At 36.7% G+C, this 14,517-nt stretch overlaps 1 protein-coding gene across 2 annotated transcripts in view; it reads right to left on the bottom strand.

Annotated features, from left to right (window-relative positions):
• MDFIC (MyoD family inhibitor domain containing) overlaps nt 1–14,517 on the bottom strand; it is a 97,824-nt gene that overhangs the window by 65,131 nt on the left and 18,176 nt on the right. For both annotated transcript variants that reach the window (NM_001166345.3, NM_199072.5), the window contains exon 3: nt 12,390–12,512. In NM_001166345.3, coding sequence (NP_001159817.1) covers nt 12,390–12,512 — 123 coding nt within the window. The remainder of the gene's footprint in view (nt 1–12,389; nt 12,513–14,517) is intronic.

The following is a 14,517-nucleotide window of genomic DNA, read 5'->3' as shown; positions in this document are numbered from 1 at the left end:
TACTGTAGTAGTATTTACTAATTCTCCCAGGACATAGACCAAGATGGCTTAAGGTATCAGGCATGTAGACCAGAACTGGATTTGACTACCAGGAGCTGTGCTTAAATATAAACTACAATGACCCAGTAATGAGAGGACTAGAATATAATCTGAATCCTTACAGAACAGTAAGTGTTATAAAATCAAAAGGCAATAATGAACCCAAAATGGAAACCAACTAAAAACTGAGAAGCAGAGACATTTCAACTGAGATGAGAGAACACATATTTATTCTATAATTAATCCTTCCATTACATAACACTCTTCCTCTATGCCCCACAGGCTGGGAACCTGAAGTGAGAAGACCGACCGATGTGTGGTCTGTTACCATAGTTTCAGCATAAGCATGGCAGAAATGCCATAAGATTATGGAATTTAGGGAGATCATGAAAGATCATTTGCAGATTCCAGTTGACCATGAAAACAGTCAGGTGAAGACAAGAAGCGGATAAGATATTACAAGGGAAAAGAACGTAATTAGCAGATTAGGCACAATTATCATTAAGGAAAAGGACAGGGAGAAATGAGAATGTGAATTTCTGGTTTCAAAACCTTAGAATGGAGCAGATCTCCATAATAAAAAAGTCCAAGGTATATCAATATGTTGTGCAGGGTGGAATGAGTGAAACAGGTACGGCTGTTAGACTTAAAGAATCAATGTGATTTCAAAGAAATGAAAAGAAGCTCTACATCAGTCTGAGACTGGGAAATCCTGACCTAGAAGGGCAAATAAGACACTAAAATCAGCTCCCTCTGTCTATGCGTTCCAAATCAGTGGATTCAGTCAATCACAAATCAAAAATATCCAGCAGGGGGAGAAAGGTGGTTGTAACTTCTGGACCATGTGCAAACTTTTTTTCTTTAATTATTCCCTAGACAATATAGTATAACAACTATTTACATAGCATTTACATTGTATTAGGTATTATAAGTAATGTAGAGACAATTTAAAGTATATTAGAAGATATGCATAGGTTATATGCAAATACCATGCCATTTTATATAAGGCATCTGAGCATCTGAATATTAGGGTATGCTCAGGGGCCCTGGAACCAAACCTTCATGGATACCGAAGGGACAACTGTAGTAGAGATCACATAGCTAGAAAGTGGAGCAGAAGGCATAAAGAGTCACAGCCATATCACACTCAACACTGTTTCACACAATGACTGATTGACTAATTTCAGGTACTGCTATTTGATTTTCTGTGACACCTGGGAATTAATATAATATCAACATCCCTTCACATCAACTATCCAGGACCAGATTGGTAACTAGCTTCAAATTTAATGTTGAAATAATCAGAAGTTCTTGTAGCCTGAAATTGTTCCATCTACTTTGAATTAGTCCAAACACATGTAGCCTTTATGGCAAAAATCAATATTATTCCAATCCTCTTTTTAAAAAAGATTTTTATGATATATACCTATTTTTTTGTTTCATTGGGGTAAAATATTTGAATTTAATAAATTTAAAAGACAACCTTTTATTTAGAAATCAAAAAACAAGTTACATGTATTTGAATTAAAAATGCTGAATGACTTGTTCTTGTTATTTAAAAGATGTAAAGCTAGACTAAAAATCAACTATCACAAATTGGCTAAAATACTGAAAACTTAAATATGTAGGAATATGGGTTTAATCTTCCATGTTCTGTAGTAAATATTTTTACACAAAACCATTTGGTAAGATTAAAAATCTACTGAATATGGGAGAAACATAATAATAAGAACCCAACTCACAAAGAATAAGAAGAAAATGGTAATTATTAATAATCACACCATTCGTTGGGTGTGGTGTTGTTGCCACTGCTGCCTACATTATCAGTCTCCTTTGTAATTATGACAGCGCCTTTGCAATGCTGAAGGAATATCGTGAAGATAACCTGCAAAGACAGGCCTACACATAAATGATATATTAATATCTTTTTCATAAAGACAGGGAATGATGGGCAGCATCCGAAGTATGATCTTATTATGATCACACTGGCATGAATCAATTATTCATGACAATTTGAGATGGTGGGAATCTTTTTTTCCTTAAATTTTCTAATCGGAGTTCTCACAAGTTCTCATGAACCATGGAAAATATACTTAATTAAAGAATGTTCCAAAGCAGAACAAATTTCTCCACCTACTCTCTTCTATGGTTCACTTTAATGTAATTTTCACCCTCTAAGACAGCATCTGTGTGTTTTAGAAGAGATTTCCTTTGATTTTTGTGTATCTTGCTGCAGAACTCAGGGACCTGGAAAAAATCCAGCTTTTGGTGGAAAACTGTGGAGCATGGATTTGTCACTAACTCCTTAAAGGCTAGTTGAAAAAAAAAAAATGGAGCAAATCAGGTACTGATTCTCAGCTTGCTAGAGAGGGATTTCCACCAGCCCCTCTCATTCTGACGGACCCCTACACGCTGTACTGAGCCTTGGATAAAACTGGAAGCAGGTCTTCCTGCTTTCTGCTGGCTGTGGCCAGCTAAGAGCTGAGAACCACTGCCTTCCGGAGCTTGCCCATGGCGATTGTTTCACATAGCTATACAAGATTCTCATGTTTGTGAGTAGAATAGCAACTGATTTGCCCAAGCCCAGAAAAACTCCTTCTTTCCTGAATTCTTGGAATTTGCTGATAAAACAATTATAAAAATAGGTATAGAATATTACTTTATGTTTACCAGAAATGGAGTCCCACTCCTTCAATGCTTGCAGCCAGGCCCAGCATCATGGGTGCGAAACTACGCGGTTGTGGCAAGCCCAGCACTTAGAAGGACCCCCGTGCCTGGCTTAATGCTTTGCTGTTGTTCTCTTGAAATTCATAATAATATTTTAACAAGAGACCCTGCATTCTCATTCTGCACTGCCCTCCATTTTCTGAATCATGTAGCTGGTTCTATCTCCTACAGAACCTGAAGGAAGCCGAATGTCCTGGTCCACCTATAACCTGAAGTATCTTCTACAGGTGACTAAGCTCTAATGCTACTTTAAAGAGGTGGTACCCCACCCTGATATTTTGCCATATCACGTGATAATTTTCTTTTTAAAATATTTTTGTTTTAATTTAATAAAATAATTCACTTCATGGGAAAAAAAAACACAGAAAAGAGAATACAGAATATTAAGTGGGAGTCCTCTTCACCCATATGCTTTCACTCAACTTCATATAACTCCCTAAAGGTAACTATTGAGAGGAAATGGATCTATATCTTGCATTAAGAAAAAAATAAACACACATGTATAATTTGATATTAATCTTTCCTTCATATACATATGTATCTATATATACACAGACACTGACATATGTCTTTTTTTAAATTATCATTTTGTATATCTACTAGACTAAATGGAGAAGACTCTTTGGAATCTTACAGTAATGAAGACTGGTTCCAAAAAATCTGTATTTTTTTTTTCCATTCATTTCAGGGACCTCACCTTAGAGAATATCAAACTACTATTCCATTCATCCCCAACAGGTGACTGACCTTAGGCCAAAGCAGCAAAGAACCAGAGATGACCAGACCAACTGGCTATTCTTCCTAAACCATTTGTCTTTCTTTTCTTTTTCTTTTTTAGACAGGGTCTCCCTCTGTCACCCATGCTGGAATGCAGTGATGCAATCACAGTTCACTGCAGTCCCAACCTCCTAGGCTCAAGCTATCTTCCCACCTCAGCCTCCCAAGTAACTGGGACTACAGGCAGGCACCACCATGCCTGGCTAATGATTTTTTTGTGTTTGTTTTGTTTTATGGAGTCAGGGTTTCACTATATTGCCCTGGCTTTTCTCAAACTCCTGAAATCAAGCAATCCTCATGCCTTGGCTTCCTGAAGTGCTGGGATTACAGGTGTGAGCCACTGCACTTGGCCCCTCCTGACCCTTTAAGTTTCAATGAGGCATCTGAAATTCCAGAAACATTGATAAAAACCCAGCTTTACCTATTGTTGGATATATTTGATTAAAACAAACCTCTAGATCTCCTCTTCCCCAGCTGTTATATATGGCAATTTTTATGCAGCCTTTTCTGATTATAGCACTTTTAGTTTAGGAGAAACTATTTCAGTCACCCATCTTCCTTATGACTATACCTTGAGCCTTTACCTCCCCTGAGACTATTCCAACTCAGAAATCTTAAATTCATATTTCTCATTCTCATACTGCATCTTCTCTTCCCATATTTTCCCTTCATTTACTATATCTATACCTGTTTTATTTCTGAAACAACAGGAAACTTATGGACTATTAACCCCTCTGATGTTTTTACTTATTTATGATGCCCTTCTTGTCTTTATTTCCTTCCCTACCCATTTTATAGCCGTAGCTCATCACTTCACACCCTCTTTGGACAATATCCACAAATCATTTGCTCCACCGTCATTTCATCACAACTATCACTTGTCCAAACTAAAACCTTGGGCTTCATTCTCAGCACCTGTCATTCCTTTAATCCTATATGTCTTACTGGCTACATCCCATAGAAAGCTGAATCCATCTCCTCCTTGTAATCCTACCTGTCATTACCCCAGTCCAAGACACCTTCCTTTCTCAGAGGCATTACATAACAGTCTTCCAGTTGATCTCTTAATGCCTTCAGTCCTTCCCATTCCTATTTATTTTCTCACTATTTCCAGAGTCATCATCCTAAAATATAGCCCAACTAAAACACAATGTTGATTAAGTCACTACTCCCTTCAATACTTTCTATCTTCCCTTAGTCTTTAACAGATTCTTTCTCATTTCTCACCACGCCTCATCTAACATTTACATCCCAGATTACACAAAACTTCCCCAGCTCCCCTCAAAATGGCCATGTCCTCTCTTACCTCTAGAACTGTAGGTGTGCTGTGCTTTGGGCTTGGAACACCCCAGCTTCAGTCCCTCCCACGAACAGCTTCAGTTGGTGGACTCCCTTTAGGTATCACAGACAACACTTCCACTGGAAAGCTCCCTCTGGCCCCCTCCCCACATTTAGGGTTTGTGTTATCCCATGAGAACCTACTACAGCCTGCACTTCCCCACTGGAGCACTCATAATACACATTATCATATCACAATAAATTGTCTCTCCCACAAGACTGTAAACTTTGAATGCAGAACCCACACCCATCACTGTTATCTCCAACATAACTCAGTTGGTAAACTGTAAGCATTCAGTCTTCATGTAATCAATTTTTAATTTTGTTTTTAAAATTACTCTTTAATTCCTAATTCACAAATTTCAATATAACAACATGATCTGCAAAAACATAATTTACGTGTAAGTTCACAGAGTGTTCAGATCCAGGAAGTTTGAGGTTTGAGAACTAAAATTATCTAGACCACAGCATTTGTGGTCTTGATCATTAAATGTTATTTATTTCTTCAGTGGTTAGCATTTTTGGGATGATCTCTAAGCCAGTTCCCAAGCCTCAGCTCCTTCCTGAGGCTCAGAAACACTCTCCAATAGGAGAGGAATAAATCTACCTCCTCACTGAGCCCTTGTCCACTACTTACACTTTAATGCCATCTCATTTCCCCCAATAATGACCCAAATAATTTAGGAATAACAGGAAGAGATTAAAAACCTTTAACAAAAGAAGTAGGATATAGATTACAAATCAAATGTCATAGAATATAATAAAAGTGAAAGGTAAAGTAATAAATTAGAATAATGATATTAATGATAATAATAAGACAATAATAACAACACACATTGTGCTTTATGGTATACAAAGCACTTTAAAAATATTCTTATCCAATCTTCACGAAAACAAATCTGATCACTTAAGCACAATGGAAAGTATCTAGAAAAACACAAAAAGAAGCTTTGTTTGGAGGAAACACAGAGAAGTATACATAGAAACATCTACTTCCATAAATTGTAAAGCAGTCTCTTTTTTCTTACACTCTGCAAATTCGTTTGTATATAACTTGTCATTTCACAACTCATTAAAATCCATGAGCAAATTCCAATTTACAATTCCAGAGAACTAGAGGTAAATATGAGAAGGAATTTATTACCAATTACAATCTTTAAATAGTAATGGATTTCATTATATATACCTTTATACTGATGAACAATATCTATATATGCAGTAGGATTACACACATCTGTTAGAAAGGCAGAGAATAATATGAGAAAGAAGAAGAAAAGAGGAAAAAAAGAAAAGAGGAAGAAAAGGAGGACAAAAGAATGGGAGGGAGAGAAGGAAGGATGGAAGAAAAGTCCATCCAAGCTGGAGGGAGGGATGCAAAAGGCAGGGAGGGAAGTAAGGTCGTCTCGAATTTTTTTTCTTATGGGTAGGCAAGAAAAATAAGGAACATCGGATGCAAAAAAGGCCATAAATAAAGTGTCATTCCTATTCACCTCCTCAGAAAATGAATGTTATACAGAGCACTACCATAAGAACTTCACTGAAAACTCTTCAAAGTAGCCTTATCAGTAAACGATAGTCAAATTTAGAACTTGATTGCTTTAATATCATAAAAGTCATCTATACATACTTCAAACTTGACATGAATAAACCACGTGCAGCCTGGGAGTAAGAAGGGAGTTAGAAGAATAAATGGAATACTGTAGTGATTTAGAACCTTCATCTCAGGACCTTAACGTCTGAAATAATAGAGGCAAGGTAGGTAAAGCATCTCTTCCCTCCCCCTTATTAATTCAATACACTTAAGTCATCATGCATTTATTAAGCATAAACCATTCAGCAATCAATGTGCTGGTTATTGTTGTAGACAATATCAAAGGTCTCAGAAAGACATGACCTTTTGGATCCAGCCTGTCTGGACATGTAACTCAATGCAGCCATGATGAACTTAAAAAACAAAACAAAACAAACCTTAGAACTAATAGCTGGGCTCAAGGATAATAACAATGAAAACCAATAAATTCAGTGTGTGCTTACTCATTTTGCTTTGTGCTAAGGAAGCATACAATATGCATTTTCTTGTATAATCATCAAAATGACAATGAGGCATAAAATGTTAGCACCTCCCTTTTAAAAATGAGAAGTTAGAGCTCAGAGAGGTAGGTAACTGGCCCAGCATTAGCAGTAATGATGCAGCACGGTCTGACTCCTGGAAGTCAGTTTCCATTGACCTCTTAGCCCCAGAACATTAAATGCTCCAAACAAAAATCGGCTCAAAATGAAATGGTTCTCCCCAGCTTCTGGGCAGAAGCCAGATGAGGATGAAATAATGGAGCCTGAGAAGAAGTGTGTCAGGTAACTTGACCTCCATGCTAGAATACAGCCTAATGGCTGCCATTGACCAATGAGATAAATACAGGAGCCCATCAAAAATGACTTAGGATTATCCACCCAATCTTGAACCCAAACGATTGGTTTGATTTTGGAATAACTGACCATAAAGATCCTCCTCTAAAACAATAATCAAAGCATGTGTACTACAGTCACATAACGTCCAACATACTGAATAAAAAGAGAATTTTTCTGAGAGCCAAATGGAGGAGGAAAAGACATTGAGCAAGGCAAAAGTCAGAATTATTTGCTTCCAATATGTGCCCCCAAAAATGAATGAGCATGAAATATTAGGGAAAAAACTCCTAGATGACCCAAGAAACATAATATGATAGCTATATCTTCCAGTCTTAACTAGGTCATAGTTATCTAGGGGCTGGTTGATGACCTTTTCCATATAAAGTGAATTCTAAAGAAATCCAAATTAACACTTACTGAAATGTGCCATCAAATGAGAGCTGTGAAATAAACTTAATACAAACCTCTTAATGCTCTTTGCTTACCAACAAAGTAAAAATGTTCTAAGTATATAAATAGCACACCTGAGTATCTGCTTTTCTTTCAGTATTTTACATAAAGGAGGCATTCCCTAAAGTGATGAAATGGTATGCATTAAGGGGTGATCCGCATTAAGTTGGCAAAGGCTAGGAAAAGAAATAATAGAGCTCCGAATAACAGAGCCTGTTGATGTTGAGAGCAATTGCAGATGATGCCAAGAGAAAGGTTTCAAGCAGCAAGATGAGTGAAAAGGCATGATACGGCAGCTCCATAAGGGTGAGCAAGTGTGAGCCGGAGAAGAGCTTGCGTTCTACTGCCAATTAAGTGCTTACTATTATGAGAGCTAAAAACTCTTCAAAATGAATAAATGGGTTAAATAGAATGGGGATTACCATTTAAGTAGAGCATTTTAACTTTGCTTCAGATCATGGGAATTCTATAAAATCACAAAGGAGAGAATTAGCTGAACAAAATAGTTTAATTTAATGGGAAATTTATTTCAGAAGAGAAGCTAAGGAAAATTTCTGGAGTTAAGTAATGACATTTAGAATTAGCAGACGTTTATGTAAAAGCAATGTCCAAGGATAAAGTTAAGTAATAAGAATTTTCAGAAAGACCTAGAAAAACCTGAGATAGAGACCTGAGGCACTTTATAAAGAGGAACAAAGAAAAATGTAAGCTCTCTATAGGAAATAATTAGAATAGTAGAATTTGACCTAAATTAAAGGAAAATATTACACATGCCTGAGTGTAAGCACAGTAACACACACACACACACACACACACACACACACTCTTCTTCCTACCTTAGAAATCCCCGCAAAGACTGAGATCAAAATGTTGCTTCTGTTGCTTCTGTTCCTTTTCTTGTCTAATTAAAACATGAAATGTTGCCTATTGCCTGTTATCAGTTTATGCATATTACGGGTTAAATAGAAAAATTAATATTAATTGATGGTGTCGCTTCACTGTAACATTTATTTTACTAAGTCAGAGGAATAGTGACAATTAAAACAGGGCATAGCTTCAATTATACCATATACGCTAATCTGAGGGGAAAAGCCAAAGGCTTAGTTGGTGCTCTTATAAATTCCAAAATTTAAGCCACCTTTCAGAAATTAAATTATACACCAAATTATGTTCTAAGAGTATAAAAGCCTTTTGAAATGTAAAAAGGATAAAAAGTCATAAAATAAAAAAAGAGAATTTCCAATTATAAACTTTTTTCATAAAACCTCCATTGTTTTTAATTCTTTACTAATTTGATTTGGAAATTTTTAAACAAATTTAAGTGGTTGGAATTGTCTTTTTAAATTTAAATTTCATAGGAAAGAGAACCAAAATGTGCGTTCTCTGACCAGATTGTGTGTGGCCTATTTATTCGAAATGTTTGATTCCATATGAGTTTCTTCTTTTTATTTATTACTTCCATAATGTATTCTCTGTAATATGTTAGCAATTCAAGGGCAACCAATTTGAAATCCGCACCCTGAAAAACCATAATACCCCAGGTCTTCCACCTGCAATGTTTTCTACGTGGACCAGGGAAAGCAGACTAAGTACAAACTTCTGTGTAGAGCATGAACCAAGTATGAGTTCAAGCAGGTAGTCCGCTAAGGTCAGGGTTAAAGTTCATAGAATAATTTGGAAATTATTCTCAGCGTGAATATCCCTTATGAGGCCTGAGAATACACCCTTTAATTAGAATACAATTTCCAAAGCAGCCACTCCCTGACTTTCCAGAGCTCAGTTATTCTCAGCAAAGAAAAGTAAAAACAGCCTCATTACACTGACAGCTAACAGTCCCCTATAAATTATGCCTTGAGTGTCCGGCAAAGAAGGCAGCAGCCATCCGGCACAACGGAGACACGAGCTGCCAAGCCCTCACTAACCACTTTCAAGAATAAAGAAAAAGAAGTCACATTCGACCGCGTCTGTCTCCTTCACTTCTTGCGTATGCAGCTGAGCTGCCCCATGGAAGTTTGGAAAAAGAGTGGGTTGTGCATTTGAAAATGTTCCCACACCCCAGCCAGCCTCATTTTTCTGATGATCCCTCTATTCAGCCAAACTCGCGCTACAGTGGGAACACTAACATCAATTCCGTGAGAGCCAGCTGTCCGCTTCTTCCACGGTGCTCAGAGAGCCACACAGGACTCCTGGAATCGGAGCCAGCTCGGGCCTGACTCAACACAGATGTTCCCCTCCTCCCATGAAGCTCTGAGCCAGAGTCTCCTTTTCCAGGGCCTATTGTTATTACAAAAGAGTTTCTGGGCCCCCAAAATGTGCGAGATGCTTAAGCAAGAGGAAAATACACATCTTCCTAACTTCAGAGTTAAGACAGACAGACTAAATTACACAGAGATGGCCAATGACTCTGTGGGGAAGGCCAAAGAAGGAAAGTCAGGCAGCTCTGAGAGTTTAATATCAAAGGAGTTGGAATAGCAGAAGCTACCACAATACAAAACTTTCAAATGCTATCCAGAATTGAGTCAGTTTTAAAGATGATATAAAATGTTCCACTTCTGCAAAATCCAGATATCAAATTTTTTCTGTTGATCCAACAAAGTAGACTTTGTCTAGAAAAGTGTGACTGGGAAAATAACAAAAATGGAGTTTTTGAAATTTATAATCAAAATTCAGAGTCAGATTTCACCCACAAATATTTGGAAATATTTGCCAGCTTATGTTTCAGGCAGGAGTGGCATTGCTATCTTTGGCCAGTATCTTTTGTAAATCCATTCAAACTGTCAGTTTCCCCAGCAGCCCTTTCAGAGGGGGTGTAAATTTCTGTATCTCTTCATTCCTTCAGTGAATATTAGTAAGAAACTAGACAGTGGTTTCCTAATGTTCCAAAGTCCCATGGCACAGGGTACGTCATTATCTCAATAAAGAAACTCATGCAATTTACAATATATTAGATTGGTACCCACTTAACCAATGAAACCGTAGAGTAAATCATTTTAATTCATTCTTTTTAATGGTATGGATTCTATGACTAATATGAGCTTCACCAAATAATATAAACAAATTTAACACATTAGCATGACTCTCCATATTCTTATTTAATAGTGTTTGTCTTTTTTGTTGCTGTTGTTCTAAGAAATCTTATTCACATTTTCCTATTGTGGGCCCTAGGAAAAGAGATTAAGGAAATAAACCAATTAAATGAAGCACACACTTAAAATTGTTACCACCGAAAAAAAAGTGAGAAAACCATTTTGCTTCCCAACAGATAGAGGTAAAATTGTCTCTAGAACTTCTTCTAGTGCTCACTAACTCTGGTTGCTAGGAAGTCAGAGATAACATAGGCCAGTTATTCCACAAAATCATGTGTTTCACAATAGCAGAGTCAATATTAGATAAATGCTAATCAATATATGTTTTTCAGATAAATATTTACTTGAAATAATGTTTATATGATTCTTTGGATAAAGCTATATAAATCTTCCTCCTCACTAATTCCTGAGTCTCATTTCCTTCCTTCCTACTCCCTTCTCCAAGACCAAAGTGTATAAAAACCAAAATGGTCCTAAAATTAACCTAAAACACTCATTTTTAGAGCTTTTGTTTGAAACCTGGAAATTTCCTTCAATAGTGTTTTTATTGTTGTTGTTTATTTTCTCCTAAGTTGGACCCTCTTCCTTTTTTTTTCTAATTTATTTTGTTTAGTTTTCAGTTAGAGACAGGTAGTGGCATTCTAGAGAGGAAAGAAATGTTCTAAGTTTCAAAGTAAGTGTAATGTGGAAGACTGTAAAGGATCTATAGTATGAAGTTACTTAAACTAAAGAAATAAGTTTTTAAACATAAAATAAACATTTGATCCCAGAAGTAAATTCTCCTCCATCCACTCTGAAAAACTGAGAAGGAAACATGGTATTTTGGTTACTCCAAAGGGGAATATCAAAAGATTTACTCCCTATGCTCTTCCAGGTGTGGCTTAGCAGCAATCTTTACACCTAGGTGTTTGCTATGTCGAATAATTCATTGTATGGCAAATTCATCTTGAACACACCTAGGGGAACTTAGTGACCAGAACGTAAACTCCAGGAGCTCGAGAGCAGAACCCCACATGGACTCAGCATTCTGATCAGCACCCAAAAGACAAGGTATTGCAGGGCATTCAAAGAATAACATGAAAATAGACCGAAGCTTTTGTATGCAATTTTAGGAAGAAGAATATCACAAAAAATTTTTTTAACAAACAGTGATAAAATATTAATCATAAAAAAAATTTGGAGTCAGTTAGCTAGAAGAACAGAGACCATAGTAGCATTAATCTTTTAGCTCCATCTTCCTCTTTTTAGTTTCTCCATCCACATATACTTAGAGTTGTTTGACTTCCACTTAGTTGTTACTCAAAAAGGAACTGAATTTTGACTGAATCTCTCTGAGAAGAGTTCAATATTTACGCGTCAATTCTTCATTTCTGAAGAAAGGCAACACTGACAGCATTATGTATATCCTAGCTTTAGCTCTGTAATTTAAAATACAAATGAAACCACTTTTAGATAAACGCTGTTGATTTACGGATTTGTAGCAGAATTATCTGGGGCAATTAACGAAGAATATATTACCATAGTCATATCCCAAAATCACTCAAAGTTTTTTCTAAAAATACTTACTTCTAATGAGTTCACCATCCGAAGGATTTCCCCAAATGGACTGGTCTTGCATCTCTCCATGTGTGAAGTGGCTATTGGTAGCTTGAGTTATATCTTTCTCAGTATTGTCTTTATCACATTTTCCTGAATTAAAAAAGATACATTTAATATAATTGATTTTATATATTTTTCTCTCCTTTTTTAGTATATACATTTTTCTAAATGCTTCCAAGTCTGCCATAATTTAAGGAAATAGAACAGGTATACCTCTATTGCCTGCTGCCTATTTTATTGGCTCAGTAACAGGTATTTACTGAGCACCTACTATCAGCCTGGCATTAAAGAACCAGAGATGTTCATGGTAAAAATAATCTGTTAAGTTTACAGTAAACAAGTAATTTTAACACAGCAAGTGATGTGCCATGATAGAGAAATGTGAAAAGGTTACAGGAAGCATGAAAGTGAGTGAGTCCATGCATGTAGGGGGTTGAGCAGCAGGGAAAGGGGTGAAAGAGAAGAAGCTCTGATGAGTGGTAGAGACGAAAGTCGGCCTGCAGCTGAATGAGGAGTGACTGAGTAGTGAGGAGGTATAGAAAACAAGTACAGCATTCTCTCTCTAGAACGTGAAGAAAAAGTCAAGGACTGTGTAATGCATCCTCTGAGAAGGGGGTATTTAGGACGAGAGATTCGCAAGTGGGTTTATGGGTTCTCAGGGAGAAAGCCAACATGTAAGGAAATGTAAAGTCTTTGGGGCACATAAGTCAAGCCAAAAGCAAACTGGCAACAAGGTATAATGCATGCTATGAGAGGTCCAGAGCACTAAAAAGGTTCAAAGGAAGAAAAAATACTCATCAGGATTCAGAGATCAAGAAAAGCACTGAAGAAAATGATACATGTTGGATGGACTTCAAAAGATTAGTTGGATTTCCAAAAGTCCAGATGGGAGAAAGGTGGAAGAACAGCACGGGCAAACTCCAAAAGCAGACGTTTGGGCAAAGGTTCCAACTCTCTGGACTGTGAAGTACTATGAGTGGCAAATTAGGACAGAAGACTGCGAAGGTTTGATTAGAGACATTGTGTGGATATTAGAATGCTAAGGTGAGAAATCTGGATGAAATTCAAAAGCAAGAAAAATAAGTCAAACTAGCCACTGAAGCTTTATGAAATGCCTTATCAGAACCACGCCTTAGGAAGATTAATAAATTTGTGCACACTTGTGATTCTCAGTTCTGGCTTCACTTTAATTCACTTGGTGAGCTTTTTTTTTCTTGTAAGTATTTTTAGAACTAAAAAACAAACAAACAAACAAAAAACATATTTCTGGATACCAGAATCAAAGATTCTATTTCAACTGAGGGAGAAGAGGCTGAACTCAGATGATTCCAATGGAGTATGGATACATCTAAGAGGGAGAATACAGTAAGGGAAACTAAAAGAGAGACCTAGCAAAGCCCATATTGAAGTTGATAAGAGTTTAATTAACTGGATAACAAGATGGAATAGGGAGTAAATGTGAGAAACTAACTAGAGGTTTGTAAAGATTATCAAGGAAGATGGGGTTGGATATGACCAAGTTCTCAGTTTGGATTTGACTGGGAAAGCCTAAAAATCATGAGACCAATTTATTCTTTCAATAATATATATTTTTGCATAGTAGATGTTTAGGCATTGTGCTAGGTGATGAGGATACAATGACTTATGAAATGCTGCCCAGGCCTTCTTGGAGTTTACAGTCTAGTGGATGAATTAAGTATTGGACATTTGAATTTGCAAGTCAGAAAAAAGGTTATAGCTAGAAATAGTCATCTTTCTAAACTTGATTTCCAAAGCCATTCAAATTAATGAGCTCACTGAAAGAGTGAATATATTAAGAAATATCAAGAAGAGTACCAAGTACCAAGAAGAGTCCGTACAATTAGGAAGGAGTTAGAGAAGTAAGAAAAACTGCATGATGTCAAGCCATGGAAGCAAAGAAAGGAAAGAGATTCAAACAGAAGTTGTTAGTCAACCGTGTTAACATTTCCAGTGGAAGGAAAAAATTTCTGCACATGCAAAAATTTTTCATGTACCATGGGGATTTCACAACAATTAAAAAGTTCTGCCATGAAACAAATTTCAACACATAAAAATAGAGAGACACCCACTTGGG

Source organism: Homo sapiens, chromosome 7 (assembly GCF_000001405.40).
Source record: "Homo sapiens chromosome 7, GRCh38.p14 Primary Assembly".
NCBI classification, from domain to species: domain Eukaryota; kingdom Metazoa; phylum Chordata; class Mammalia; order Primates; family Hominidae; genus Homo; species Homo sapiens.
The sequence above is the reverse complement of the archived record's forward strand: the minus strand, read 5'-3'. Positions and strand labels throughout refer to the sequence as shown.